Here is a 27,777-nt window from a genome sequence, read left to right on the forward strand (position 1 = left end):
TAAACATTGGAGTGTATGACTGAGTTTTAGCATAAATCGGTGTTATCTTACTTCACTTATTACTTACATTAAGTGGATAAAATTAAATCTTGGGAATGAAAATGTATTCCTCATATTTATATTCACCATAATGAGAAACACAATTTGTTCATCTGAGCAGCATTTTGTTCTTAATCTCTACAGATAGATTACTATGTGGCCCCTCATGTTGTTTGGGAGCCTCTACTCAGGTACCTTCAGGACCTTCATTGACAAAATTACCAAAGAACATCCCACAAGAGGCATTTATAAAAATGCATAGTGACAAGTTAACTCAGAGCTAGCAACTTAACGATGCTATTAGTGGGCTTTAAAATATTAGAGAAACATTTATACAATTCAGGATAGAGTAATATAAGTCTGGTGTTTGTATGAGAATCATTCAAAGGTCTTATTTAAAATTGAAATTGATATGATGATATTAATATGAGATCTCCATTCATCTTTAACTGACAGTCATGATAATATCTAATCAACAGAGACAATTTAATTGGGTGTGGGACACACAGTTTTAAACATAAGCATATAATTTAAATCACAATTGGGTAGAATAATGCAATAATATTCCAAATCTCTCAGGATTAATTCAGCTAGTATATGCTATAAATCTAAGAAGAAAAATATAAGTAATTCACAAATTTCAATTCCACAAAATGCAGAGAATATTTCTTAAATTTTATATAAAAGAATAAAATAATCATCAAGTAAATGAAGAATTTTAATAAAAGGCAAATAAGATATTGTGCAAAGGATATAATCCATCTTCCCAATGGTATGTATTTTAAACCTTTATTATAGTATATAATCATTTGGACATTCAAAAGCTATGTAATGAGTATCTGTACTCTAAGCATTATAAATATAGAGATGTATATGTATATTGAAGGAAGCCACAGGTCCTAAGAGTGATAAACAAGCCAGACATTATGATATTTCATGATAAGTCGCTCAGCTATTTTATATATGGGTGCTATCAGGCCACAAAAGTTGGTCATCAAACTCAATTTGAGAAAGAAATAATTCTAGAAGTATATGCTAAAAATGAGGCAGGTCAGATGATTAAGAATACAGTCTCGAGTAAAAGGGAAATATTCTTTTAACAGACAGCAGCATATATAATACAACTATTCAAATTCTATGTCTTCTTTTAGTAGAAAATGGAGGTCCAGAGTTTTGTAATTTTCATTTTATTCCTCTGATATAGTAAGATCCTTATGCACGGTTAATGTGACATACAGATTATTAAATGAATTAAATATTACATCAATTGATGTAATTTATTTGCCACAGAATGTACACATTTGCCAAAACCGAAGATACATACTGAATAAGACACAGGTTGAAAGCAGGTAAATTAAGAAATAAAGCCTGATATATGGAAGATAGAAAAGCAGAAATAAAGAAATGAAGAAGAATACTGTGCTAAATAAAACTGAGTTTTTAGAAGAGATGTCACTTTTCAGAAAAAAAATGGTTTGGAGAAACACTGAAAACTGTTTGAGTTGAAATAAGATAGAGAGAAAGAGAAATAAAATTGCAATATGATAATAAACTAGAGAGAATATAAATGTATTTCTGCTATTGGTGACAGTACTACAATAGCATCAGACCAATGTTGAGCAATTTAAATGGATATGGAAAAAGACGGGGAGTCTCAGTTACAAGATAGATCATTGTCATTAACATTAGAAAATTGACTGGAAAGCTGAAGTTTAGAATGAGCTACTCTCCTGGAAAGCCACAACATGAGAAATTAATCTGCCCAGAGTTTGAGATAAATGCTGTAACAAAAGGAAATGACAGAGAAAACATAATTAATTCCTCAGCTCCCATTTAATTTCTGACTATTCTGTCTATAAGGAAACTCATAAAGCTGTAAAGGAGAGAACAAATGGTATTTGGCAAGACTTGAGTCCTAAGAAGAATACAGAGCCCTTAGAAAAAGACACATGGATTTAAATACTCTGACTTGGGCAAATTACATTCCTACAGGATTATTACAATGTAGAGATGAGATACCTGAATTGATGCCAGTGATCTAAGGAGTGAGTAAAGAATGAGAGGTCTAAATGGAGAAAAATAATCCCGATTAAAACAAAAAGGTGTATTTGTAATACAAATTTTGATATTTCCATTATAAAGCAGAATTCCACAATGGACAATTTTAAATACTCTTCTCTTTATGGAGATTTGCAAATATGAAGAGAAGCCAGCTGGACTTTATTCTGAGGTGGTCATGGAAACAATTTTTTTAACTCTTTTACCCACTCACCTCTCTGCTCAGCAATATTTATTTGTGCTAACAAGGGTAAAGAATTTAAAACTTCTCAAAATACAAAATTGTAATTCATGTGAAATTCCACATTTGGGCTCAATAACCAATTGTAAGTATGAACAATTTTCTAGTCTTGGAGGTGAGAGTGGATATACTAAAAAGAAGAGAATTTTTGCAATGCATATTTTTTCAAAAGAGGGCCACTATAATATTGAGAAAATTTAAAACTTTGTTTATATTAGAAAATTGTTTGAGATTTAGCCCGAAGAAGAAATCTTCAGAGAAAACATGACAACTCTTCAAAAAAGTAGAGGGCTATCATGTGGAAAAGCGAGGAAATGCAAGATCTAGGAACCAACACGAAAAAAGGACATTTGGTTTATTTTGAATTGAAAAAAATACATAACCCTTAATTAAGCAATTCATGCATAAGCGAGATTACTTACTAATGATTTTTTTGGTGGTATCAATGCATAGCATACTGGTCAAGTTTAAATGACCTCTCGTTATTTTTTATTCTAAAATAATATTTTTCATATTATGTTACAATTTTATAGTTCTTTATTGCTCTCATGTTTAAAAAGGTATTTAGAGAAATAGTGACAATAAGTGGAATGATTTAAAAGGTTTTTATTGTAGATTATTGATTCAGAATTATATAATATAGGAAATATATAACCAAGGGAGCAAACGATTATCTATGGTTTTCAAAATGGATTATTTTGAGGACAAAGACTGGTTGTTCATATTTTATACGTGACAACGGGTTTAAACAATATAAAGGGTATTCTCCTAGAATAAACAGACTAATAGACTCCTATCACTTTTTAATTGTTCCATACGCTTCAGAGATAAATTGTGGCACTTTCATAACAGATGAATTTTTATGATAGTAAACTAGGTCTTTTGGATGTCTTAGGAATTCTCACCATCTATGTTTCAGATAGTATGTATTATCTGCATAGTTTCTTTGTCAGAGAAACTCCTTAAAAATCCAGAATTGCTGTGGTCTTTGAAAATTTATCTTGTGTGATATTTTCCTTTTCATTTCCTACTGCCACTGGAATATCTTCTCCATTGATAAGTAGTATTTTGCACAATTTAATTTTATGATGGTTACTGGTGCTTTGTTGATTCTTTTCTGTTAAATAAACAAAGTCACTAACTTCTATTTTTTGACATTAATTATATATGCTGAATTATCTCAATAAATAAAATTTCCATATAGTAATTTTAAGTATTTTCTAACATATTGTCTGTGCTGCTTTTGAGTGCTAGTATTAAATATTATAAATAATATTCTCAAGAATATAAAAATATTATAATATCACAAAATATAAAAATAAATTTAAAACATTTCTGTGCCTTAGTAACACTCTCCTGGCTGAATCAAGCAGAGATAATTTAGAAGTGTGTTTCTTTTGAATATTGCAAAATAGATCTTTGAATTTCTCATTCTATTAGATTCAATGTATACTATAACATTTTTCCTGGTTAAGACAAGACAGTCAATTAAGTTTTTCTTTTCTGCTATTTACTTGCTCTTCCTGCATTTGTCTATCTTTCTTTTTATCTGTTAGGATTATGTTTATTTGCACAAAACAGAAAAACATATCTTAACTCAATTGGATTTATTGGCTTACCAAATTAATTAGTCATCCAGTGTTGGTATGATAGCTTCATGATACAGGCTTTTATCTTCCTACTCAAATATCCTTAACTAGAAGGAGCAAAAAGAAAAGCCAGCTTTTTTTTCCCTCCTTCAAAATGATGTCTTGAGCTTTAACCAATAATTTCTGCTAACATTACATTGTCAATAATGCATGATGGGCCATCTCCAGCTGCAAGAATTGTTAAGAGATCAGGAAACTTATCTAGACACAATGTCAGTCCAAAAAAAATGGATATTATTAGTAAGAAGAAAGAAATAAGTGAATATTGTATTTGCAGATAAGTACCTGTCATAGAATTAAGAAACTCAAATTTCAAAGAAAGCAAGAGTATATAAAGCTAGTATTTTGAGAGACAGGCCAGAAGAAAATCTTTCCTTAGAAACTTTTCTTGTATTCAATATTTATGGTGACTATAGTAACTGCTCTTTAATTCAAAATATTTTGTTCCAGAAGATATAAAGGCATTCAGTGATATTAATTCAGCTCTTACATGAATAAAAAATTGTTGGGGAAACTCCTTAAATAATGTTCATTGTTCCAGGTCCAGTTCAGGTAAGGTAAATTGAAGATACTGTAAAATTAAGGACTGTAAAATTTTTTCAAAAGGGTCAATGTTTTATGGAATTTGTTTGACAGAAACCATTCTTTTTTTAACAGATACATGTAGACATTGTTTTATAAACTTTTTTAAAAGAACCTTCATGATGGTAACTCCACAAAATAGATTTTATGTTCGGTGTTCACTGATGCATCAAATTCCATAGTCCCTCACATCCCCATGACTTAGTCATAATTAAAATTGAAGACTTTTCTGAAAACCTATATTATCATAATATTGAAATTAATGACACCATAGAGAAAATTATAGTAGAAGGCTACCCAATGGTTCAAGGGTTGTGAACCTGTTTGACAGAATAAGTCAACATTTATATTGGAAGGTATATAACACTAAATGATATCAAATGGAGATATGAACTCTCTGACTTTTCTCTCTTTAAATATTTTACTATTGTTCACCCTTCATCTCACAAATTGACATCCCTGTAATCACAGTTCATTATTCATTCATTTAATAATTAATACTTTGGAAGCATCAGAAAAAAATTCACAATATCTTGTGATTGAATTTGATCACAAGGATTAAAAAAGAGACTGTCACTTTGATTACTGAAGATTTTGTTCAGTTATTGCCACTTGCATGCAAGTAAGCAAAAATAAAATAGTCAACAACTATTATCATTCAAAGATATTCTTAAAGATGCATATTCATTTACAAATATAAGGTAAAATTAAAATGTATTGAATTTCAAAAAATAATAATAATAAATGTCATAATTATTTAATATTTTTCTCAATATACAAACTAAGTGACATATAGGCCAAATGATGCTTAGATATTAGATTATTTTTATTCAGCAGTAATCAATTATTTTCAAATAATACTCTACATAGAAAAGTAATGCTACAGTGAGCCAAAAATATGTTACACGAGTTAAGGTCTATTTGCACACATCCTTTCAGAGACTTGAGAAAAAGGAAGCTCACCACAGACAAGAAGAAGCTATACCTATAGAAAAAAATTTCAGAGAAAATAAGAAACCAACATTTCTGAGTAAAGTATGTGTTTTAATAGTAAATATAATACCTTACTATTGATTCCATCAGCTGTTAATTTGACGATGTTTACAAATATAATGCTTGTGAAAATAAAGATGGTACAGATATTTTCCACTGAGAAGAAATCTTATTGCCATCTGCATTATGCACTTTCATAATGCATCGTCTTAGATATTTCTGAGAGTGACATAATATTTAATAGGAGTTATTCATTTTTAAGCCCCTATATTGTCCTGTAATGGAGAAGAATTTCATCTAAAGCAAAACAAAACAATCCAAAAGTCCACACAGATCATTTTTCTAGTTCTTATTTATTTATGAAGTTAATTCCCTAAAACATTAAATGTGAAGTGCAGTTTTTAGTAAGCTTGCTTATTAGTTAAAAATGGACGATAAACATTTACATTCATAAAGATATCTTTTTTTTCTTTTTTTTCATTTTATTATTATTTTACTTTAAGTTTTAGGGTACATGTGCACAACATGCAGGTTTGTTACATATGTATACATGTGCCATGTTGGTGTGCTGCACCCATTAACTCGTCATTTAGCATTAGGTATATCTCCTAATGCTATCCCTCCCCCCTCCCCCCACCCCACAACAGGCCCCGGTGTGTGATGTTCCCCTTCCTGTGTCCATGTGTTCTCATTGTTCAATTCCCACCTATGAGTGAGAACATGCAGTGTTTCATTTTTTGTCCTTGCGATAATTTGGTCAGAATGATGGTTTCCAGCTTCATCCATGTCCCTACAAAGGACGTGAACTCATCCTTTTTTATGGCTACATAGTATTCCATGGTATATATGTGCCACATTTTCTTAATCCAGTCTATCGTTGTTGGACATGTAGGTTGGTTCCAAGCCTTTGCTATTGTGAACAGTGCTGCAATAAACATACGTGTGCATGTGTCTTTATAGCAGCATGATTTATAATCCTTTGGGTATATACCCAGTAATGGGATTGCTGGGTCAAATGGTATTGCTAGTTCTAGATCCCTGAGGAAGCACCACACTGACTTCCACAATGGTTGAACTAGTTTACGGTCCCACCAACAGTGTAAAAGTGTTTGTATTTCTCCACATCCTCTCCAGCACCTGTTGTTTCCTGACTTTTGAATGATTGCCATTCTAAGTGGTGTGAGATGGTATCTCATTGTGGTTTTGATTTGCATTTCTCTGATAGCCAGTGATGATGAGCATTTTTTCATGAGTCTTTTGGCTGCATAAATGTCTTCTTTTGAGAAGTGTCTGTTCATATCCTTCACCTACTTTTTGATGGGGTTGTTTGTTTTTTTCTTGTAAATTTGTTTGAGTTCCTTGTAGATTCTGGATATTAGCCCTTTGTCAGATGAGTAGGTTGCAAAAATCTTCTCCCATTCTGTAGTTTGCCTGTTCACTCTGATGGTAGTTTCTTTTGCTGTGCAGAAGCTCTTGAGTTTAATTAGATCCCATTTGTCAATTTTGGCTTTTGTTGCCATTGCTTTTGGTGTTTTAGACATGAAGTCCTTGCCCATGCCTATGTCCTGAATGGTAATGCCTAAGTTTTCTTCTAGGGTTTTTATGGTTTTAGGTCTAACATTGAAGTCTTTAATCCATCTTGAATTGATTTTTGTATAAGGTGTAAGGAAGGGATCCAGTTTCAGCTTTCTACATATGGCTAGCCAGTTTTCCCAGCACCATTTATTAAATAGGGAATCCTTTCCCCATTGCTTGTGTTTGTCAGGTTTGTCAAATATCAGATGCTTGTAGATATGCGGCATTACTTCTGAGGGCTCTGTTCTGTTCCATCGGTCTATGTCTCTGTTTTGGTATCAGTACCATGCTGTTTTGGTTACTGTAGCCTTGTAGTATAGTTTGAAGTCAGGTAGCGTGATGCCTCCGGCTTTGTTCTTTTGGCTTAGGATTGACTTGGCGATGCAGGCTCTTTTTTGGTTCCATATGAACTTTAAAGTAGTTTTTTCCAATTCCGTGAAGAAAGTCATTGGTAGCTTGATGGGGATGGCATTGAATCTGTAAATTACCTTGGGCAGTATGGCCATTTTCATGATATCGATTCCTCCTACCCATGAGCATGGAATGTTCTTCCATTTCTTTGTATCCTCTTTTATTTCACTGAGCAGTGGTTTGTAGTTCTCCTTGAAGAGGTCCTTCACATCCCTTGTAAGTTGGATTCCTAGGTATTTTCTTCTCTTTGAAGCAATTGTGAATGAGAGTTCACTCATGATTTGGCTCTCTGTTTGTCTGTTATTGGTGTCTAAGAATACTTGTGATTTTTGTACACTGATTTTGTATCCTGAGACTTTGCTGAAGTTGCTTATCAGCTTGAGGAGATTTTGGGCTGAGATGATGGGGTTTTCTAGATATACAATCATGTCATCTGCAAACAGGGACAATTTGACTTCCTCTTTTCCTAACTGAATACCCTTTATTTCCTTCCCCTGCCTGATTGCCCTGGCCAGAACTTCCAACACTATGTTGAATAGGAGTGGTGAGAGAGGGCATCCCTGTCTTGTGCCCATTTTCAAAGGGAATGCTTCCAGTTTTTGCCCATTCAGTATGATATTGGCTGTGGGTTTGTCATACATAGCTCTTATTATTTTGAGATACGTCCCATCAATACCTAATGTATTGAGAGTTTTTAGCATGAAGGGTTGTTGAATTTTGTCAAAGGCCTTTTCTGCATCTATTGAGATAATCATGTGGTTTTTGTCTTTGGTTCTGTTTATATGCTGGATTACATTTATTGACTTGTGCATGTTGAACCAGCCTTGCATCCCAGGGATGAAGCCCACTTGATCATGGTGGATAAGCTTTTTGATGTGCTGCTGGATTCGGTGTGCCAGTATGTTATTGAGGATTTTTGCATTGATGTTCATCAAGGATATTGGTCTAAAATTCTCTTTTTTGGTTGTGTCTCTGCCAGGCTTTGGTATCAGGATGATGCTGGCCTCCTAAAATGAGTTAGGGAGGATTCCCTCTTTTTCTGTTGATTGGAATAGTTTCAGAAGGAATGGTACCAGTTCCTCCTTGTACCTCTGGTAGAATTCGGCTGTGAATCCATCTGGTCCTGGGCTTTTTTTGGTTGGTAAGCTATTGATTATTGCCTCAATTTCAGAGCCGATTATTGGTCTATTCAGAGATTCAACTTCTTCCTGGTTTAGTCTTGGGAGGGTGTATGTGTCGAGGAATTTATCCATTTCTTCTAGATTTTCTAGTTTATTTGCGTAGAGGTATTTATACTATTCTCTGATGGTAGTTTGTATTTCTGTGGGATCGGTGGTCATATCCCCTTTATCATTTTTTATTGCGTCTATTTGATTCTTCTCTCTTTTCTTCTTTATTAGTCTTGCTAGCAGTCTGTCAATTTTATTGATCTTTTCAAAAAACCAGCTCCTGGATTCATTAATTTTTTGAAGGGTTTTTTGTGTCTCTATTTCCTTCAGTTCTGCTCTGATCTTAGTTATTTCTTGCCTTCTGCTAGCTTTTGAATGTGTTTGCTCTTGCTTTTCTAGTTCTTTTAATTATGATGTTAGGGTATCAATTTTAGATCTTTCCTGCTTTCTCTTGTGGGCATTTAGTGCTATAAATTGCCCTCTACACACTGCTTTGAATGTGTCCCAGAGATTCTGGTATGTTGTGTCTTTGTTCTCATTGGTTTCAAGGAACATCTTTATTTCTGCCTTCATTTCATTATTTACCCAGTAGTCATTCAGGAGCAGCTTATTCAGTTTCCATGTAGTTGAGCAGTTTTGAGTGAGATTCTTAATCCTGAGTTCTAGTTTGATTGCACTGTGGTCTGAGAGACAGTTTATTAAAATTTCTGTTCTTTTACATTTGCTGAGGAGTGCTTTACTTCCAACTATGTGGTCAATTTTGGAGTAAGTGTGGTGTGGTGCTGAAAAGAATGTATATTCTTTTGATTTGGGGTGGAGAGTTCTGTAGATGTCTATTAGGTCCGCTTGGTGCAGAGCTGAGTTCAATTCCTGGGTATCCTTGTTGACTTTCTGTCTCGTTGATCCATCTAATGTTGACAGTGGGGTGTTAAAAGTCTCCCATCATTAATGTGTGGGAGTCTAAGTCTCTTTGTAGGTCACTCAGGACTTGCTTTATGAATCTGGGTACTACTGTATTGGGTGCATATATATTTAGGATAGTTAGCTCTTCTTGTTGAATTGATCCCTTTACCATTATGTAATGGCCTTCTTTGTCTCTTTTGATCTTTGTTGGTTTAAAGTCTGTTTTATCAGAGACTAGGATTGCAACCCCTGCCTTTTTTTGCTTTCCATTTTCTTGGTAGATCTTCCTCCATCCTTTTATTTTGAGCCTATGTGTGTCTCTGCATGTGAGATGGGTTTCCTGAATACAGCACACTGAAGGGTCTTGACTCTTTATCCAATTTGCCAGTCTGTGTCTTTTATTTGGAGCATTTAGCCCATTTACATTTAAAATTAATATTGTTATGTGTGAATTTGATCCTGTCATTATGATGTTAGCTGGTTATTCTGTTCCTTAGTTGATGCAGTTTCTTCCTAGCCTTGACAGTCTTTACAATTTGGCATGTTTTTGCAGTGGCTGGTACCGGTTGTTCCTTTCCATGTTTAGTGCTTCCTTCAGGAGCTCTTTTAGGGCAGGCCTGGTGGTGACAAAATCTCTCAGCCTTTGCTTGTCTGTAAAGTATTTTATTTCTCCTTCACTTATGAAGCTTAGTTTGGCTGGATATGAAATTCTGGGTTGAAAATTCTTTTCTTTAAGAATGTTGAATATTGGTCCCCACTCTCTTCTGGCTTGTAGAGTTTCTGCCAAGAGATCAGCTGTTAGTCTGATGGGCTTCCCTTTGTGAGTAACCCGACCTTTCTCTCTGGCTGCCCTGAACATTTTTTCCTTCATTTCAACTTTGGTGAATGTGACAATTATGTGTCTTGGAGTTGCTCTTCTCGAGGAGTATCTTTGTGGCGTTCTCTGTATTTCCTGAATCTGAACGTTGGCCTGCCTTGCTAGATTGGGGAAGTTCTCCTGGATAATATTCTGCAGAGTGTTTTCCAACTTGGTTCCATTCTCCCCGTCACTTTCAGGTACACCAATCAGACATAGATTTGGTCTTTTCACATAGTCCTGTATTTCTTGGAGGCTTTGTTCGTTTCTTTTTATTCTTTTTTCTCTAAACTTCTCTTCTTGCTTCATTTGATTCAATTTATCTTCCATCACTGATACCCTTTCTTCCAGTTGATCGCATTGGCTACTGAGTCTTCTGGATTCATCACGTAGCTCTCGTGCCTTGGTTTTCAGCTCCATCAGTTCCTTTAAGGACTTCTCTGCATTGATTATTCTAGTTATCCATTTGTCTAATTTTTTTTCAAAGCTTTTAACTTCTTTGCCATTGGTTCGAATTTCCTCCTGTAGCTCAGAGTAGTTTGATCGTCTGAAGCCTTCTTCTCTCAACTCGTCAAAGTCATTCTCCATCCAGCTTTGTTCCACTGCTGGTGACGAACTGCATTCCTTTGGAGGAGGAGCGGCACTCTGATTTTTAGTTTCCAGTTTTTCTGCTCTGTTTTTTTCCCATCTTTGTGGTTTTATCTACCTTTTGTCTTTCATGATGGTGATGTACAGATGGGTTTTGGTGCGGATGTCCTTTCTGTTTGTTAGTTTTCCTTCTAACAGACAGGACCCTCAGCTGCAGGTCTGTTGGAGTTTGCTAGATGTCCACTCCAGACCCTGTTTGCCTGGGTTTCAGCAGCAGTGGCTGCAGAACAGCGGATATTGGTGAACCGCAAGTGCTGCTGCCTGATGGTTCCTCTGGAAGTTTTGTCTCAGAGGAGTACCTGGCCGTGTGAGGTGTCAGTCCGCCCCTACTGGCGGATGCCTCCCAGTTAGGCTACTCGGGGGTCAGGGACGCACTTGAGGAGGCAGTCTGCCCGTTCTCAGATCTCCAGCTGCGTGCTGAGAGAACCACTACTCTTTTCAAAGCTGTCAGAGAGGGATATTTAAGTCTGCAAGAGGTTACTGTTGTCTTTTTGTTTGTCTGTGCCCTGCCCTCAGAGGTGGAGCCTACGGAGGCAGGCAGGCCTCCTTGAGCTGTGGTGGGCTCCACCCAGTTTGAGCTTCCCTGCCGCTTCGTTTACCTAATCAAACAACTAACTGGGCAATGGCGGGTGCCCCTCCCCCAGCCTCACTGCTGCCTTGCAGTTTGATCTCAGACTGCTGTGCTAGCAATGAGGGAGACTCCGTGGGCATAGGACCCTCTGAGCCAGGTGCGGGTTATAATCTCCTGGTGTGCTGTTTTTTAAGCCCATTGGAAAAGTGCAGTATTAGGGTGGGAGTGACCCGATTTTCCAGGTGCTGTCTGTCACCCCTTTCTTTGACTAGGAAAGGGAATTCCCTGACCCCTTGCACTTCCTAGGTGAGGCGATGCCTCACCCTGCTTTGGCTCGTGCACAGTGCGCTGCACCCACTGTTCTGCACCTGCTGTCTGGCACTCCCCAGTGAGATGACCCGGGTACCTCAGTTGGAAATGCAGAAATCACCCGTCTTCTGCGTTGCTCATGCTGGGAGTTGTAGACAGGAGCTGTTCTTGTTTGGCCCTCTTGGCTCCTGCCTCAAGATTTCTTTTAATACTATCCTTTATCCATTTTATCTTTACCTGAAACATCAGTCATCTTGGACATGTCTAACATTTCTTACAGATGTTCTAGAAAATCTAAATAAAATTGCTTGTCTCTGCCTCTGGCTTTGTTCATCTAACCTCATATCTATCTTCTTCAACTTGGGAAACAGGATTTTCCATTTTATGTACAAAAGAAAATGGAGAGACAATTCAAAATAAAAAGCATGTTTTATTTCTTATTTCTATACTGTACCCAAAATAAATGAAACAGATTATCTTGCCTTTCGTGAAGCTGTCATAAGTACCTATAAATGTATTGAGTTTCTTAATGTCCTTCGAATTTTAGTTGTGACTATTATAACCATATTTTGAAAATATGATTTCAAGTAACTCAAATAGAAAGTTTAAAAGTACATCTTAAGAGGGCTGCATCACATCAAGACACTAATTTTTGAATCACACATGCTAGCACTTCTAGTTATAGATATATCCTATTCAACAGTGACTTATGTTTCCTAAGGTTTTGTTCTTCATCTGAAGGTGCAAGGCTCATTTATTTTGCAAGACTTTTTGGATTTTTAAAAGGATCAAACAAGGTAACAAATGTAAAGCATCATAATGCCTGACCTGATAAATAGTAACTGTTACTCCTCTTCTGTCCTGGCAACTAAAACCTAACTGATGTTTGTTATGCATTATTTTGAACTAGGAACTAGAAATTAAAGTAAAAGTGTAAATGTTGTGATTTCAACAAATCAACTATATATCATCTTTTGCATTTAATAAAGTGAACATTTTGATGTGATTACTCTTGAAATTAGGAAATCTAAGAATCAGGCCATGTCTGGTTAACTATGTTCTTACACTTAATCTGGGCCTCATTGTTAGCCATCTTAACTTAAGAAGTTATCGCTATTTACACAGCTCTCTAAAAATAATTAATTTAAAAATCAATCTGTTGGAAAATAAAGTACTAAAATTATGAATATGATTGAAAAAAGACAAAACTCATGTTCAGAAGAAAATAATAAAATTAATCATAATTTCCTTTTGTTTTTACCTTAAAATTCATCTACATCAACGGTTATTTGAGTGTCAGAGAAATGTATGTTTTTATACCATTATTTGTCCTGTGTATTCTAATGCACATTAAAGAAAATGAAAACAAAACTAATATTTTGAAACATAAAGGATGGAGACTTTCATATATACTATATAGTTAAGTGCTTAACAGGGCTTGTTATTCAAATGGAATTTTAAAAACTTGAATGTGTGCAAGTGAACATTAAATCCCACAAATTATTTGCTATTAGAATGGCTAGGATTCTTAGATGATAGTAGTTTTGACTTATTTGACTTTGTCAATAATGTAATAACTATATCAATTTATAAATTCTCAATGACTTTTAAAATGTGTTTATTTTTAAAACTTTCTGATTACTTATTTTGCCATCTGCTGATAGGTGAATAAAGATCAACAGTATGGAGGTCTGTGTTCATAATCAACTGAACAGAACAAAAAGGCTGATCCCCCATCCAGTAAGAGAGAATTCTCTTACTTAGGTTAGAGAGGTTAAATTATTTCATTTAAAATAAAGTATATAGTTTTGTTAAATCAAGTTTAGCCTAAAGCTGCCTCCTTCTGGAGTCTCAGGGCCTACTGTGGCTCAGGAGTCTGCCCGATTTGTGAATCTTCCGTTACTCAATTAAACTCCTTTAAATTTAATTCAGCTAAAGTTTTTCTTTTAACAGTTTATAAGCCTGTTTCAAACAAAAAGTTTTTCATTGATGAAGGGTTTACTGTGTGTGAACAAAAGAAAGTGTAGTGTAGTGTAGTGAGGAAAAATAAGTTTTAGAGTCAGAGGATCTAACTGCATGCCCTTAATAAGTGTAATATAGCAGGGATAATGTATATCTACTGTGTTATCATCAGTAGGTGTAGCTGTGGCCAAGTATGCCATGTTAACACTCTCATTATCTTTGTGGTGCAATGGCTATTTAATAGTGCATGTCATAGACTCTTCATGGTCGCATGGCCTTGCCCTCATTACACACCCTGCTAATGTAGTCTACCACTATAACTGGGCCTCAATATGTTTTTTTGTAAGAAGGAAGCTAACCTTTGTTTGATGTCCATTTACTGGAAACCATCCTATATGCATATATATACATAATGTCTTCTTAAAGTATTTGTATAATGCCATGAAATAGTTATTATTAATTCCCATTTTTAACAAATAAAGTAAGGCTAAGAAAATTTTACTTTTTTTACTTCTGTCTCTCTCACTTTCTTTCTGTCTCTCATACACACCTGAGCATGTGCACACACACATACTGTAGGAAATCTAGTAGAGTTCATCTGATGTTTACATCACTATTTTGAGCTAAATGCTGACTCTTCACCAGTTTTATAATATGTGCATTTTTCATTTAGTCATAATCAGAAAAATACGTGTGATTCTTACACATACTCCATGAATGAAAAAATTGAGCACTAGAGAGCTTAAGTATCTTATTAAAAAAAAATTACATGGTAGAACAGGGATTTCACCATAGGATCATTTGACACAAACCTTCAGTTCTAACAACTACTCTACTGGTACTTCTGATGAGACACAGGTTATAGTTTAAGCGTGGTCAGATATATGTAACTGCAATTCATCCAGATAAAAATAGAGCTCCTGTTCAATCCCAAATAAAATGAATTAATATCTCTGATATTAAAGGATATTAATCCTAATGGAATGTAGAATTTTTTATTCATATTGCATTAAAGTATAATAAAAGTATAACTATTATAATATCTACATTCTGTTATTATATAGTGATTGAATTAAACTTTTTTGGCAAATTCTAAAAGAATAGAACTTTGATTCTTATTTTCATTTATGTGCTGAGCAGTAAATTTTAAAAAACACTTTAAAAACTTGTGCTTTTATGTTTGAGTCTTACTATATTCCACGTTTCATTATTTTGTTAATTATTTCAGAATGTAAATATTATTGTCATTCTGGTCAAAAATAATTTTTAAAATTTCACCATGAATAACATTTTGCATGTTTTTCAATAGATTAATATTCTTTCCACTGTGTACATGCATATAAATGATTACTGTTAATGAGAAATATATTGAAATGTGAAAAGAGGAAGAATGCCTTATCTGAGTCTATGAATATATTAAAATTTTAAGAATATTTTGGTTATATCTGACAATCAAATGGATAATTTAAGTATAAATATCTATCTACTTTTCTATTTACTTATTCATCAATTTATATAAAAACATACACACATGCATACATATATATGTGTAGGAATCATAGATGTATATATGCATATGTCATATATGAACACATATTTATATACAGTATGTGTGTGCTTGCAGATACACAGATTCACACACATAGACACACACACACACACACACGCATGCAGAAAGAGAAGACACAGATTAATTTAGTCCCAATAATTATTTAACTATCTGGGACAGCAGATTTTACAAATACTGCAAAGAAATAATGTTATCCTTGCCTTTTAGGGCATCATAATGAAGATGAGCAGAAAACAAAATTATTACTCTCAAGAAATATTTAAAATATGCTTGTATTAAGTTGGGATTCTCCAGGGAAACAAACCTAACTGAATGTGCATATGTGTTTGTGTGTATATTTGTGTGTGTATACATATACATGTGTGTGTTATACACATGTATATCAATTTAAGGCATTGGCTCACATTATTATGGAGGCAAGCAAGTTTCAAGGTCTGCAGTGTGAGTTGGAAACTGAAGATCGAGAAAACTGTTGTTTTATTTCCACCTGAGTGTGAAGATCTGTAAACCAAGAGAGCTGATCACGTTTTTCTAGTCATAAGGCCCCAGACTTGGGACCCAAGAAGAGCCAAGGTTTTAGTTAAGTCTAAAGGCAAGAAAAAAGTCAATACCCCCATTTGAAGGCCACCAGGCAGGAAGAATTCTTTTTTACTGGATGGGGGATCAGTCTTTTTGTTCTTTTCAGGCCCTAATCATTATTCGGAAGGCTACTTTAGGTTGAAGGACACTTCAATATCAAGAGAACTATCTAACCAACAAAAATTGGTTTCCAACATGATCTAGTAGATTGAAAAACTGGCCACAGTTCTTCGTTCCTTCTTATGTTTATGCCCATTTAATGTAGCTTTTATTTATTTTTTGTTTTTTGCCTCAAGTGGTGGGGTTTCTTTTTCCTTCTCTTTAATTCGAGTTGACTATGTGATTGGCTGGCAATAGAATGCAATATAAATGACAGTGTGTCAATTCTGATCCTAGAGCCCAAAATCTGGAGTCACTGACCTCCACTCTTTACTTTGAATTTTGTGCAGTTGCCACTTAAAAAAGTTTTAGCTGGCCTGCTGGGGATTGAAAGACCACAGAGGGCAAACACATTTGTCCACATAAGGCCAGCCCAACTGCCAAATCACAGAAGCATGAGTTAAAGAAATGGTTATAGTTTTAAACCACTTAATTTTGGAGTGGTTTGTCACAAAGCAAAAGCTAACTGATATACATGGTCAATATCTTCCTGGCAGAGGAGTAGGACATTAGTTTGTCATGTAGGCAATCTAAATTCACTTATACTGTATATAAAATTAGTTTGACACTTTATTTAATTATAAGATGAACTTCTTTTCACCCAAGTATATTAGACAAGCCACAGGTGTCAAGTCAGTCTTGCCTCTTTATAGTCTATCTTAACATGAAGATCCAGTGTGGTTTTAGTCTTTCGTGAGTTCTAGCTTTCTGATGCTGCCGTATAAGCACCACGAGACTTTGATTATCCAACTTACTTTTGAAATAATCACTATAAACCTGACTCCTGTTTAATTTTTTTTTTTTTTACATTAGAATGCCACACAGTTGTCTAAGGAAGGGGCCCATGGAATGATACAGGTCTGTGGCCTGTTAGGAACTGGGCCACACAGCAAGAGGGAGAGCAAACATTATGGTTTGAGCTCTGCTTCCTGTCAGATCAGCAGCTGCATTAGATTCTCATAGGAGTGAAAACCTTATTGTGAACTGCGCATGTGAGGGATCTAGGCTGCGCACTCATTATGAGAATCTAATGCCTGATGATCTGAGTGATCTGAAGTACAATGGTTTCATCCCGAAACCATTGCCCCCACCCCAACTCCCACCTCCATGAAAAAATTTTCTTCCACCTTTCAGGAAACTGGTCCCTGATGTCAAAATGGTTGGGGACCAATGGTCTAAGATGTCTAAAGGAAGAAAGAAATTTTTCTGCGTAAAACATTTGGTATATTTTTAGGTAGACCTAGTGTAAGTCCAGATTGAGAGGCTTTGCTGTGTTTCACAGTTGCCTTTTTGTGTGTGTAGACACCGTGTATGTGTGTGAGTATATGAGTGCATCAAATAATGAATAGTAATATAAAACAAATTGCCTTTCTTATTGTCTAATGTTAATTAAAACCAAATGTCCCTTTCACAATGCACCTAATGTGCTTTAATTATTCTGTATTGTGCGGATGTGACAAAAGGGAACATGCAATTATTAAGCGGAAAAAGTACACATTGTACCAATAATTGTCCATAACGTGAAATAGTATTGCTTTTCCCCTGTGAATAACTTGAATCCTTGCCAAATAATCCACTCCACGCCCTTTAAATAATGTAAATTATTCTTTCATAATAATATGTATTTAAAATTACCTTTTATTGAGTTTAACAGAAACATGTTCATTTCCATTTTCCTTCTTTCCATAGTTTGAAATAATACAAAGCCATAATATGTTTTTAATGTTTTCTACTGGCATAAATTTTAATCATAAAAATGGGTGTTACTCTACAGAATATAGAGCTTTGGAAGCAGTTAGAATTAGATTTGAATGCTAATATTTTGTATTTAAATGTGAGCAAATCTCTTACCTCACTGAGATTAATTTTCTTGGGGTAAGAATACCTATACCTACAAGGATATTGGATGTGAAGGGGCTGATGAACAGATAACAGGTATAAGGTGGCCAAGCCACAAATAACCTTTCTTATAATGCTTAATGATTAGGAAATAGAAACAAAATCCATTAAGATAAACTCAGATTCTCAGATATCTGAATTATTTCTCAATCTTTCACTCTTAAATTATCTTCCTTTGCCTTTTCAATTATTTTTTCTATCAGTGAACCCTTACTTTCCTTCTAAATGGTGAAATTATTTGGGAACTACTTGAATAATATTTCTCACTTAACTAAATGCTGACATATCAGAAAGAAACTCTAGATAAAATACAAGGGTTTCCTGAAAGACAGCTACTGTCTTCGTTAGACGTTTTTCTCTCCAAAGGAGGAAGCTGATTTTCTCTAAAGTGATGTTGAAAAAGATCATTGAAAGAAGACCATGAAACAGAGACTGCTTTTCAGCCCAATTTTGGTGGTCATTTTTCTGCAGCTCTGTTCCCTTATCCATTTTTCAGTATCATGAAAGTCAGGTGTCAACTCTGGGAATGGCTTTTTGATTCTGACATTAATTCTCATGGTGGTTTTGAATATACAGGTGTAGTTCATCAGTTCATTATTCTTGTGGGAATTATTTGTGGACCCCCAGTTAGAATCTGGTTTTTAGCCATCAATCTGCAATCACTTAATTCCTAGAACTGAATTACTTCCTTTTTTAAATATCTAGGATGTTTTCTGTTTTTTGCACTACACCCTGACAGATAAGGTTTCAAAATGTTTTTGAAAAGGCAACGTGTTTGCCCAACATAGTGGGATTGTAGGAAAGAAATGAGGATAGAGAGGTAGGTTGGATTCAAATTAAAGGGATTGTTCACTGTGTTGGTAAGGAATTAATTTTAAACTCATGACAAGCCACAAGAAGCTTCTGAACATAGTGGCAGCATGATCAATGTGTGTTTTAGAAAAGTGATTCTAGAATCTGCACCTGGAGTAAATGGAAGGATGCCAGACTGAAAGCAAGTGGTCTGATCTGATGGGACCTGTTGGAGCTGGCATCAACTATCATTGGATCAAAGATAATCTTCTGAGATAACCGTCCTTTCATAAACAATAGGCATAAATTGCTTTCAATACAGCTGAAAAAATCCAAGAAGAAAATTTTTATTTGATACCATAGCCAATAGCTGCCATTTTACTTAACACTTTAAAGAAATATCCATAACAGGCATTTTAAAATAAACATTATAATATGATGTTCTAAAGAGAAGAAATACATTTTCAGGCTGACAACATGGGCATGGAAATATGTAAATAAATGATGTAGGAGATACATATATCAAGTATTCTCTCTGACAGAGTTCTTGGCAAATATATCAGTTCTTAAAGCTTCAGCATATCAGTTGTCTTCAATAAACCAGTAGAGCATTTGCAGAATCAAAAACCATTCAATGAAACCAAGTGCCTGACCTTTTATAAGTCTTTGGTACACACTGGTTCTTTTATTTTCCAGTATCCCTACAACACAGAAAGACTCTGATATTCCAAGCCAAAGCTAGGCATATTCTGAGGTAGAATGTGTCCATAGGTACAGATATTTTGTCTGTGGAGTACCAACAACTATATGGCCATTGAACAAGCTGACATAAGTGTCATAAAAGAAAATAAGTACTCCCTGATGATTCAGGAAAAGGAAGAATTATATAAATCTAACCAATCTTGCTGAAACTATTCCTAAAACTCAAGGAGGAAAGACTCTTCCCTAACACGTTTTACAAGGCCAGCATCAATCCTCATAGCAAAAACTGGCAGACACACAATGAAAAAAAGAAAACTTCAGGTCAGCATCTCAGTGAACATAGAAAAATCCTCAACAAAATACTAGCTAACTGAATCCAGCAGCATATCAAAAAGATAATTCACCACAAACAAGTAAGCTTTATTCCTGCGATGCAAGGTTGGTTCACCATACACAAATAAATAAATGAGTCCCACCATATAAACAGAATCAAGAACAAAAACGATGTGATCATCGCAATAAATGCAGAAAAAGCTTTTGATAAAATCTAACATCACCTCATGATAAAAACCCTCAGCAGATTAGGCACTGAAGGAACATACCTCAAAATAATAAGAGCCATCTATGACAAAACAACAGCCTGCATTATACTGAACAGGCAAACTCTAGAAGCATTCTCCTTGAGCGCTAGAACAAGACAAGGATGCCCACCCTCACCATGCCTATTCAATGTACTACTGAAAGTTATAGCCAAAGCAATGAAGCAAAAGGAAGAAATAAAAGGAATCTATCTAGGAAAAGAGAAAGTCATACTATCTTTCTTTGCTGATGATATGATTCTATATCTAAAAAACCCTACAGACTCTGCCAAAAGGCTTATAGCTAATAAAAAGTTCAGTAAAGTTTCAGGATACAAAATCGATATGAAAAATCAGTCGTATTTCTACACACCAACAACATTAAAGCTAAGAGCCAAATCAAGAATGCAATCCAACTTAAAATAGTCACAGAAAAAAATAAGTCACCTAGAAATATAGCTAGCAAAGGAGACGAAAGATATCTACAAGGAGAACTACAAAACATTTCTAAAATAAATCAGAGATGACACAAATAAATGGAAATATATCCCAGGCTCATCAGTTGGAAAAATCAGTATCATTAAAATGGCCATACTGCCCAAAGCAATTTACAGATTCAACACTATTCCTAATAAATTACCAATGTCATTTTTCACAGGATTAGAAAAAACTATTCTAAAATTCATGTGGAACCATAAAGGAGCCTGAATAGCCAAAGCAATCTTAAACAAAAAGAAGTAAGCTGGAGGTATCATATTACCCAACTTCAAACTATACTACAAGGCTACAATAACCAGAATAGCATGGTACTGGTAGAAAAGCAGACACATAGGCCAAAGGAATACAAAACTCATAAATAAAGCCACACAACTACAACCATCTGATCTTTGACAAAGTTGACAAAAATAAGCAATGGGAAAAAAGTCCCTGTTCAATAAATGGTGCTGGGAAAACTGGCTATTCATATGCAGAAGAATGAAACTGGACCCCTACATCTTCACCATGTACAAAAATTAACTCAAGATAGATTTAAAACAACTGTAAGACCTTGATCTATAAAAATTCGAGAAGAAAACCTAAAAAATACCCTTCTCCATATTGGCCTTGACAAGGAATTTATGGCTAAGTCCTCAAAAACAATTGCCACAAAAACAAAAATTGAAATGTGGGACCTAATTAAACTAAAGAGCTTCTGTGCACAGCAAGAAAAACTATTGAGAAAGTAAACAGACAACCCACAGAATGGGAGAAAATATTCACAAACAATGCATCTTTAAAAGGCCTCATATTCAGAAGATATAAATAATTTAAGCAATCCAACAAGCAAAAACCAAATGACCTCATTAAAAGAGGGCCAAAGACGTGAACAAACAGAAGATATACCAGCAGCCAACAAACATCTGAAAAAAAAAATTCATCTTCCCTAATCATCAGAAAGATGAAAATAGAAAACACAAGGAGATGCCATCTCAAACCTGTCAGAATGGATTTTGTTAAAAAGCCAAAAAAATAGCAAAACTCCTAAAACCCAAGGATGAGGTTGCAAAGAACAGGACTGATGTAAATTAGCTCAGGCACTGTGGAGAGAAGTTTGGAGATTCCTCAAAGAGCTGACATGAATTACCATTCTACCCAACAACGCCATTACTGTGTATATACCCAAAGGAAAATAAGTCATTCTACTAAAAAGAACAGGTACCCATATGTTCACTGCAGCAGTATCCACTATAACGAAGACATGCAATCAACCCAGTTGCCCATCAATGATGTCATGCCTAGTGCCAGGTTCCAGCCAATGATGGGGTCCGAAGGGAGTGGTGGATGAGTGGCAGATAACTGAAAGAACACTTGGGGCATAGGCAGATGAAGTATGGTTTTATTCAGCAGCTCTCTCATCAGCAGCTCACTCACACTAGTTCTCTCATCAACAGCTCTTTCACATTTTCCATCTCTGTCCCGGCCACCTGCTCTGGCTCTGGGGTTTCAGCTGCTCAAACACACAACTGCACAACCAGCTCTCCCTTACAGGGTCAGCAGCTTCACTCTCTCCCTCTCAGGGCACAAGCTGAGCCACGTCCTGGCTTTCCACTGTCTCTCTGCAAGATGGACATCTCTGACTCTCTCTCTTTCTCTGGGAGTGCCCTGAGCCAAGCCCGGACAGCATCAGCAGGGCAGTTATACCTTTTACAAATAATAGGCTCTGAGCCAGGTATGAACTTATAAAAGCAGGTTATATAACAAGTGGAATTATGCACCTGTGCTCCAATCCCACTGAGTCATGCAGGATGTTACCTCAGCATACTCTTGACCAAAGCACATCCATGTAACTTACATATGGTGTATTGGATAAAGAAAATGTGGTATATATATATCATAAAGTACTACACAGTCATACAGAAGAATGAAATCATTATCCTTTGCAGCAACATAGATGCATCTGGAAACCATTATCCTAAGTAAACTAACGCAGAAAGAGAAAACCAAGTACCTCATGTACTAGTAATGCATGTTTTCTCTTTAACTATTACTGAACTATGAGCCTAAGAATTCAAAAGTATTCAAGATCTCAAATGTACACTTTTGCCAATAGTAGCTTATTATTAGTTCATGAATCATAGTTGCTTTCTGTTTACTTTTATTTACTATAAATATTTTTTCTACATGACGTTACTATTCAGACTAGAGAGAGCAGGCTCATTTTAGTTTTTTTTAATCAAAAGCTTGAGTGTGTATCAGAGTCACTTGGAGAATGTTTCAAAAATGAATAATTATGGCATTACCCTATACCTACAAAATAAAACTTTATGGGCAAGGCAAAAGGATCTTACTTATAAAGCTCTGACTATAGATGGATTATTAGAGGTTTTGGATTCCACTAACAAATGGCAAATCAGTGTTACCATTGGTCTCAAGTAGTTATGAATTGTATTGTTTGTGAAGAAGCTGTCACCTGTAATCTGTAGGAACAATTTAAGTGTGAAAAATATAATGAGAGCCCATAAATAATGGCTGGGATATTATGGGAATGTACTATAGATCCTTCAGTTAGATAAAAGCATAGATGACACATTCCTGATCAAAACGTTAACAATGAAACAGAAAATGAAAAAATGAAATAAATGAATAAGAAAAATGATTTATTGAATGCTTCTCTATGTCATAAATTGTTAGTCAATAAACATTATATCATTAGTTTAAACAAAAATTCTAACAAGTAACCATTTGTTTTAAAGTTATTCTGATACGGTAACAGACTGATTTACTACTATATTCCTTGTAGTCATGTACTGATATGTTTGGATTTGTGTCACCGCCCAAATCTCATGTCTAATTGGAAGAAGGGCCTGGTAGGAGATGACTGGATTAAGGGGGTAGATTTCCCATTGCTGTTCTCATGATAGTGAGTGAGTTCTCATGATAGTGAGTGAGTTCTCATGATAGTGAGTGAGTTCTCATGAGATCTGATGGTTTAAAAGTGTATGGCACCTTCCCCTTTGTGTGCTCTCCCTCTCTCTCTCTCTCTCTCTCTCTCGTGCATATTGTAAGATATGCCTGCTTTCTCTTCACCTTCTGTCATGATTGTAAGTTTCCTGAGGCTTCCCAGTAATGCTTACTGTTAAGTCTGAGTAAATTCCCAGTAATGCTTACTGTTAAGTCTGAGTAAATTAAATTTCTTCATAAATTACCCAGTCTCAGGTACTTCTTTATAGCATTGTGAGAAATAACTAATACAGAATATTGGCACCAGGAGTGGGATATTGCTATACAGATACCTGAAAATGTGGAAGCAACTTTGGAACTGGGTAACAGGCAGAGGTTGGAACAGTCGTGAGGGCTCAGAAGAAGATAGGAAGATGTGGGAAATATTGGAACTTCCTAGAGTATGGTTGTGACCTTGAATACTGATAGTGATATGGACAAAGAAGTCCAGGCTGAGGTGGAGATGAGGAACTTACTGGGAACTGGAGCAAAGGTCACTCTTGCTATGCTTTAGCAAAAAAAAAAAAAACAAAAACTGGCAGTTTTGTGCCTGTGCTCTAAAGATGTGTTGATTTTTGAACTTGAAGACATGATTTAGTGTGATTTAGTGCAACTTAGTGTAACTGGTGGAAGAAATTGTTAAGCAGCAAAGTGTTGAAAATGTAGCCTTGCTGTTCCTAAAAGCCTATGCCCATTTGCATAAAGAAAGAGAAGGTCTGAAATTGCAACTCATATTTAAAAGGGAGGAAGAGTATAAGAGTTTGAAAAATTTGCAGCCCACTTATGTGGTAGAAGAGAAAAACCAATTTTCTAGGGAGAATTCAAGCTGGCAGCAGAACACATAAGTAAAGTGAAGACTAATGTTAATAACCAAGACAGTGGGGAAAATGCCTCGGAGACCTTTGCAGTAGCCCCTCCCATCACAGGCCTGGAGGCCTAGGAGGGAAACATGATTTCATGGGCCAGACCCAGGAGGGTCCTGCTGCTCTTTGCAGCCTCGGGATATAGTGCGCTGGGTCCCAGCCACTCCAACTTCAGCCGTGACCAAAAGGAGGCAATGTACAGCTCTGGCTGTTGCTTTAGAGGGTTCAAACCCCAAGCCTTGTCAGCTTCCACGTGGTGTTGGGCCTGCAGGAGCACAGGGATGGAAAGTTGAGGTATGGGAACTTCCACCTAGATTTCAGAGGATATATGAAAATGCCTGGATGTCCAGGCAGAAGTCTGCTGCTAGGGCAGAGTCCTCATGGAGAACCTCTACAAGGGCAATGTAGAGGGGAAATTTGGGGTTGGAGTCCCCACGTGGAATCCCCACTGCCTAGTGGAGCTGTGAGAAGAGGGCAATTATCTTGCAGACACTAGAGTGCTAGATCCACCAGTAGCTTGCACTGTTCACCTGGAAAAGATGCAGGCACTCAATGCCAGCCTGAGAAATCAGCTGCAGGGGGTGTACACTGCAGAGGCACAGGGATGGAGCTGCACAAGGCCTAGGGAGCCCACATCTTGCATCAGTTTGCCCTCGATGTGAGACATGGAGTCAAAGGAGATTACTTTGGAACTTTAAGATTTAATGACAGTCCTGAGTGGTTTTGACTTGCATGGAGCTAGTAGCCCCTTTGTTTTGGCCAATTTCTCCCATGGGAAATGAAAGAATTTACACAATGCTTGCCTGTAACCCCATTGTATCTTGAAAGTAACTAATTTTTTTTTTTAATGGTCTAGGCTCACAGGCAGAAGGGACTTACCTCGCTCACATGAGGCTTTGGACTGTGAACTTTTAAGTTAATGCTGAAGTGAGTTAAGACAGGGGGACTCTTTGAGAAGGGATAATAGTATTTTGCAATGTGAGAAGCACATGAAGTTTTGGAGGCACCAGAGGCAGAATGACAGTGTTTGGATTTGTGTCCACAACCAAATCTCATGTCAAATTGGAGGTGGGGCCTGGTGGGAGGTGACTGATCATAGGGTCAGATGTCCTCCTGTCTGTTCTTATGGTACTGAGTGAGTTCTCATGAGATCTGATGGTTTAAATGTGTGTGGCAATTTCCCCTTTACTTTCTCTCTCTCCTGCCACCATGGTAAGTTTTGCCTGGTTGCCTTTCACCTTCCACTATGATTGTAAGTTTCCTGGGACCCCCCCAGTCATGTTTCCTGTTAGGCCTACATAACTGTGAATAAATTGAGCCTCTTTATCAAATATATAGTTTGCAAATATATATGTATATATGCCTAGACTCTTGTAAATACAATACTCTTGTAAACACAACCAATATATTTCTGGTATGGTTCTTGTTTACAGGTACCAAGACAGACCTGATCATAAAACCAATAACAAAGAATGTCAGAAGTCTTTTACATGGAAGAAGAAAAAAATGCGAGCAAGAAGGCCTAAGAAAGGAGAGGTTTCAATAGACGGTACACTCGGTTGTTCCCTTAGACCACCTTTGTTAGTCTTCGCCTCAAAGAAAAACATTTCCACTGAAAACCACATAATCTGGTTTAACAGATTAAATATATAAACTATGATGTGCTGGGAGAACTTCAGCTTTTTTTCCTAGCACTCACCTGATCCCAGAGATCTTATTCCAACATCTTAAACAGAAGTTAATAATTCTTTATTTGATTTAGAGTTTCAGATTCACTCTAAAGATCTGAGGACATCAGTTTAATTTTTAGGCTAACCTTTTTTTTTTTTTGAGATGGAGTTTCACTCTTGTTGCCTGGGCTGGAGTGCAATGGCACAATCTCGGCTCACTGCAATCTCTGCCTCCTAGGTTCGAGAGATTCTCCTGCCTCAGCCTCCCTAGTAGCTGGGAATACAGGCGCCTGCCACTGTGCCCAGCTTATTTTTTATATTTTTAGTAGAGACGGGGTTTCACTGTGTTGGCCAGGCTGGTCACGAACTACTGACCTCAGAAGATCCACCCACCTCAGCCTCCCAAAGTGCTGGGATTACAGGCGTGAGCCACCACGCCCAGCCTAGGCTAATCTTAAAATACAACACATAAGCAAAACCTATTTAACAAGGGCAAAACTCACAAAATGAATTTAATTTTCATTTACAGTCCATTCTTAAATTCATATCTCTAGCCCTATCATTTTCTATGAGTTGTAGATCTGTTTATTCTGGGGCCCACATGAGATTAACTGATTCTAAACCATTTGAGATTCCATCTTATGCAGGAATTAATTTTTTTCTCTCCTCCTAAAAATGATACATTATCGTTCTTCCCTAAATAAGTGATTGACACTATAAGCACAATTCCTCAAATCAAAAAATTAGGAGTCTCTATTTTGACTAATTAGTTATTAAATATATCAATTTAATATTATCCATGTTTAATGCTTAAATATACTTGTATCTATCTTCTTTTTCCTCTCTGGCCATCATCCCATTTTTTCAGCTATTATTAGCCTCTCATCTGGACCTCTGTCAAATACACATATGATTTGACTCTACCTATGGCTTTTTTTTCTTCTTACACCAATCTTCAGTGCTGGCACACAGGATACAGGAAGTTTTTAGATATGTTCTCTCTCTCTGGAGTACTGTTCCTTTCCTTGTTTACTTTGTTACCTCTTTTTCCTTTTTTTAGATCTCAAATAAGTTGTGACTTCCTCTGATAAATCTTTGGTAATTTCCAGTATAGTGTTAGCTAACCTCGCTTTCTGTTAGTTACCATACCACCATTTACCTCTCCTTTGTAGCAATTGATACAGGTGCAATATCATAGTTGTTTAGAAAATTTTGATCAATGTTTACACCTACTATTTTATAATAAAGTCCATGAAAGAAAAGGAAAAATAAGTTGCATTTGTTAAGAATTTGTTTCCAGTTTTGATCAGTGTTATTACACTTTCTACCTTAGCAACTAACTGTTTTGGAATCAATATGTGAAGTTTTGTTGACAGGTAACAGAGAAAAACAACACTAAGAGCCACAGCCTGGCTGAGTACAATCTGCTTGTCCTTCATGTTGCAAAGAGCTGTCAGCCTGGCCCTCAATGCCTTGGTGTTCTCTTGGTGAACATAAGGCATTTCACAGAATATCATCA

The 27,777-nt window shown here is 36.0% G+C and overlaps 1 long non-coding RNA gene across 1 annotated transcript in view, besides 1 other annotated feature; it reads left to right on the forward strand.

Moving 5' to 3' along the window:
- LINC02113 (long intergenic non-protein coding RNA 2113) overlaps positions 1-26,253 on the forward strand; it is a 43,965-nt gene extending 17,712 nt beyond the window's left edge. Inside the window, exon 4 of the long non-coding RNA NR_110562.1 lies at positions 26,022-26,253. This is a non-coding gene — a long non-coding RNA (long intergenic non-protein coding RNA 2113). The remainder of the gene's footprint in view (positions 1-26,021) is intronic.
- Positions 11,147-11,647: an enhancer, noted in NCBI's record as "NANOG-H3K4me1 hESC enhancer chr5:98898552-98899052 (GRCh37/hg19 assembly coordinates)". NCBI's record gives its function as "activates a minimal SCP1, AML or CMV promoter by ChIP-STARR-seq in naive H9 embryonic stem cells {active_cell/tissue: H9 hESC(naive)}" and the evidence as "EXISTENCE:reporter gene assay evidence [ECO:0000049][PMID:30033119]".
- Positions 26,254-27,777: the final 1,524 nt, after the last annotated feature.

The sequence above is a fragment of the Homo sapiens genome, chromosome 5 (genome assembly GCF_000001405.40).
Source record: "Homo sapiens chromosome 5, GRCh38.p14 Primary Assembly".
Taxonomy (NCBI): Eukaryota; Metazoa; Chordata; class Mammalia; order Primates; family Hominidae; genus Homo; species Homo sapiens.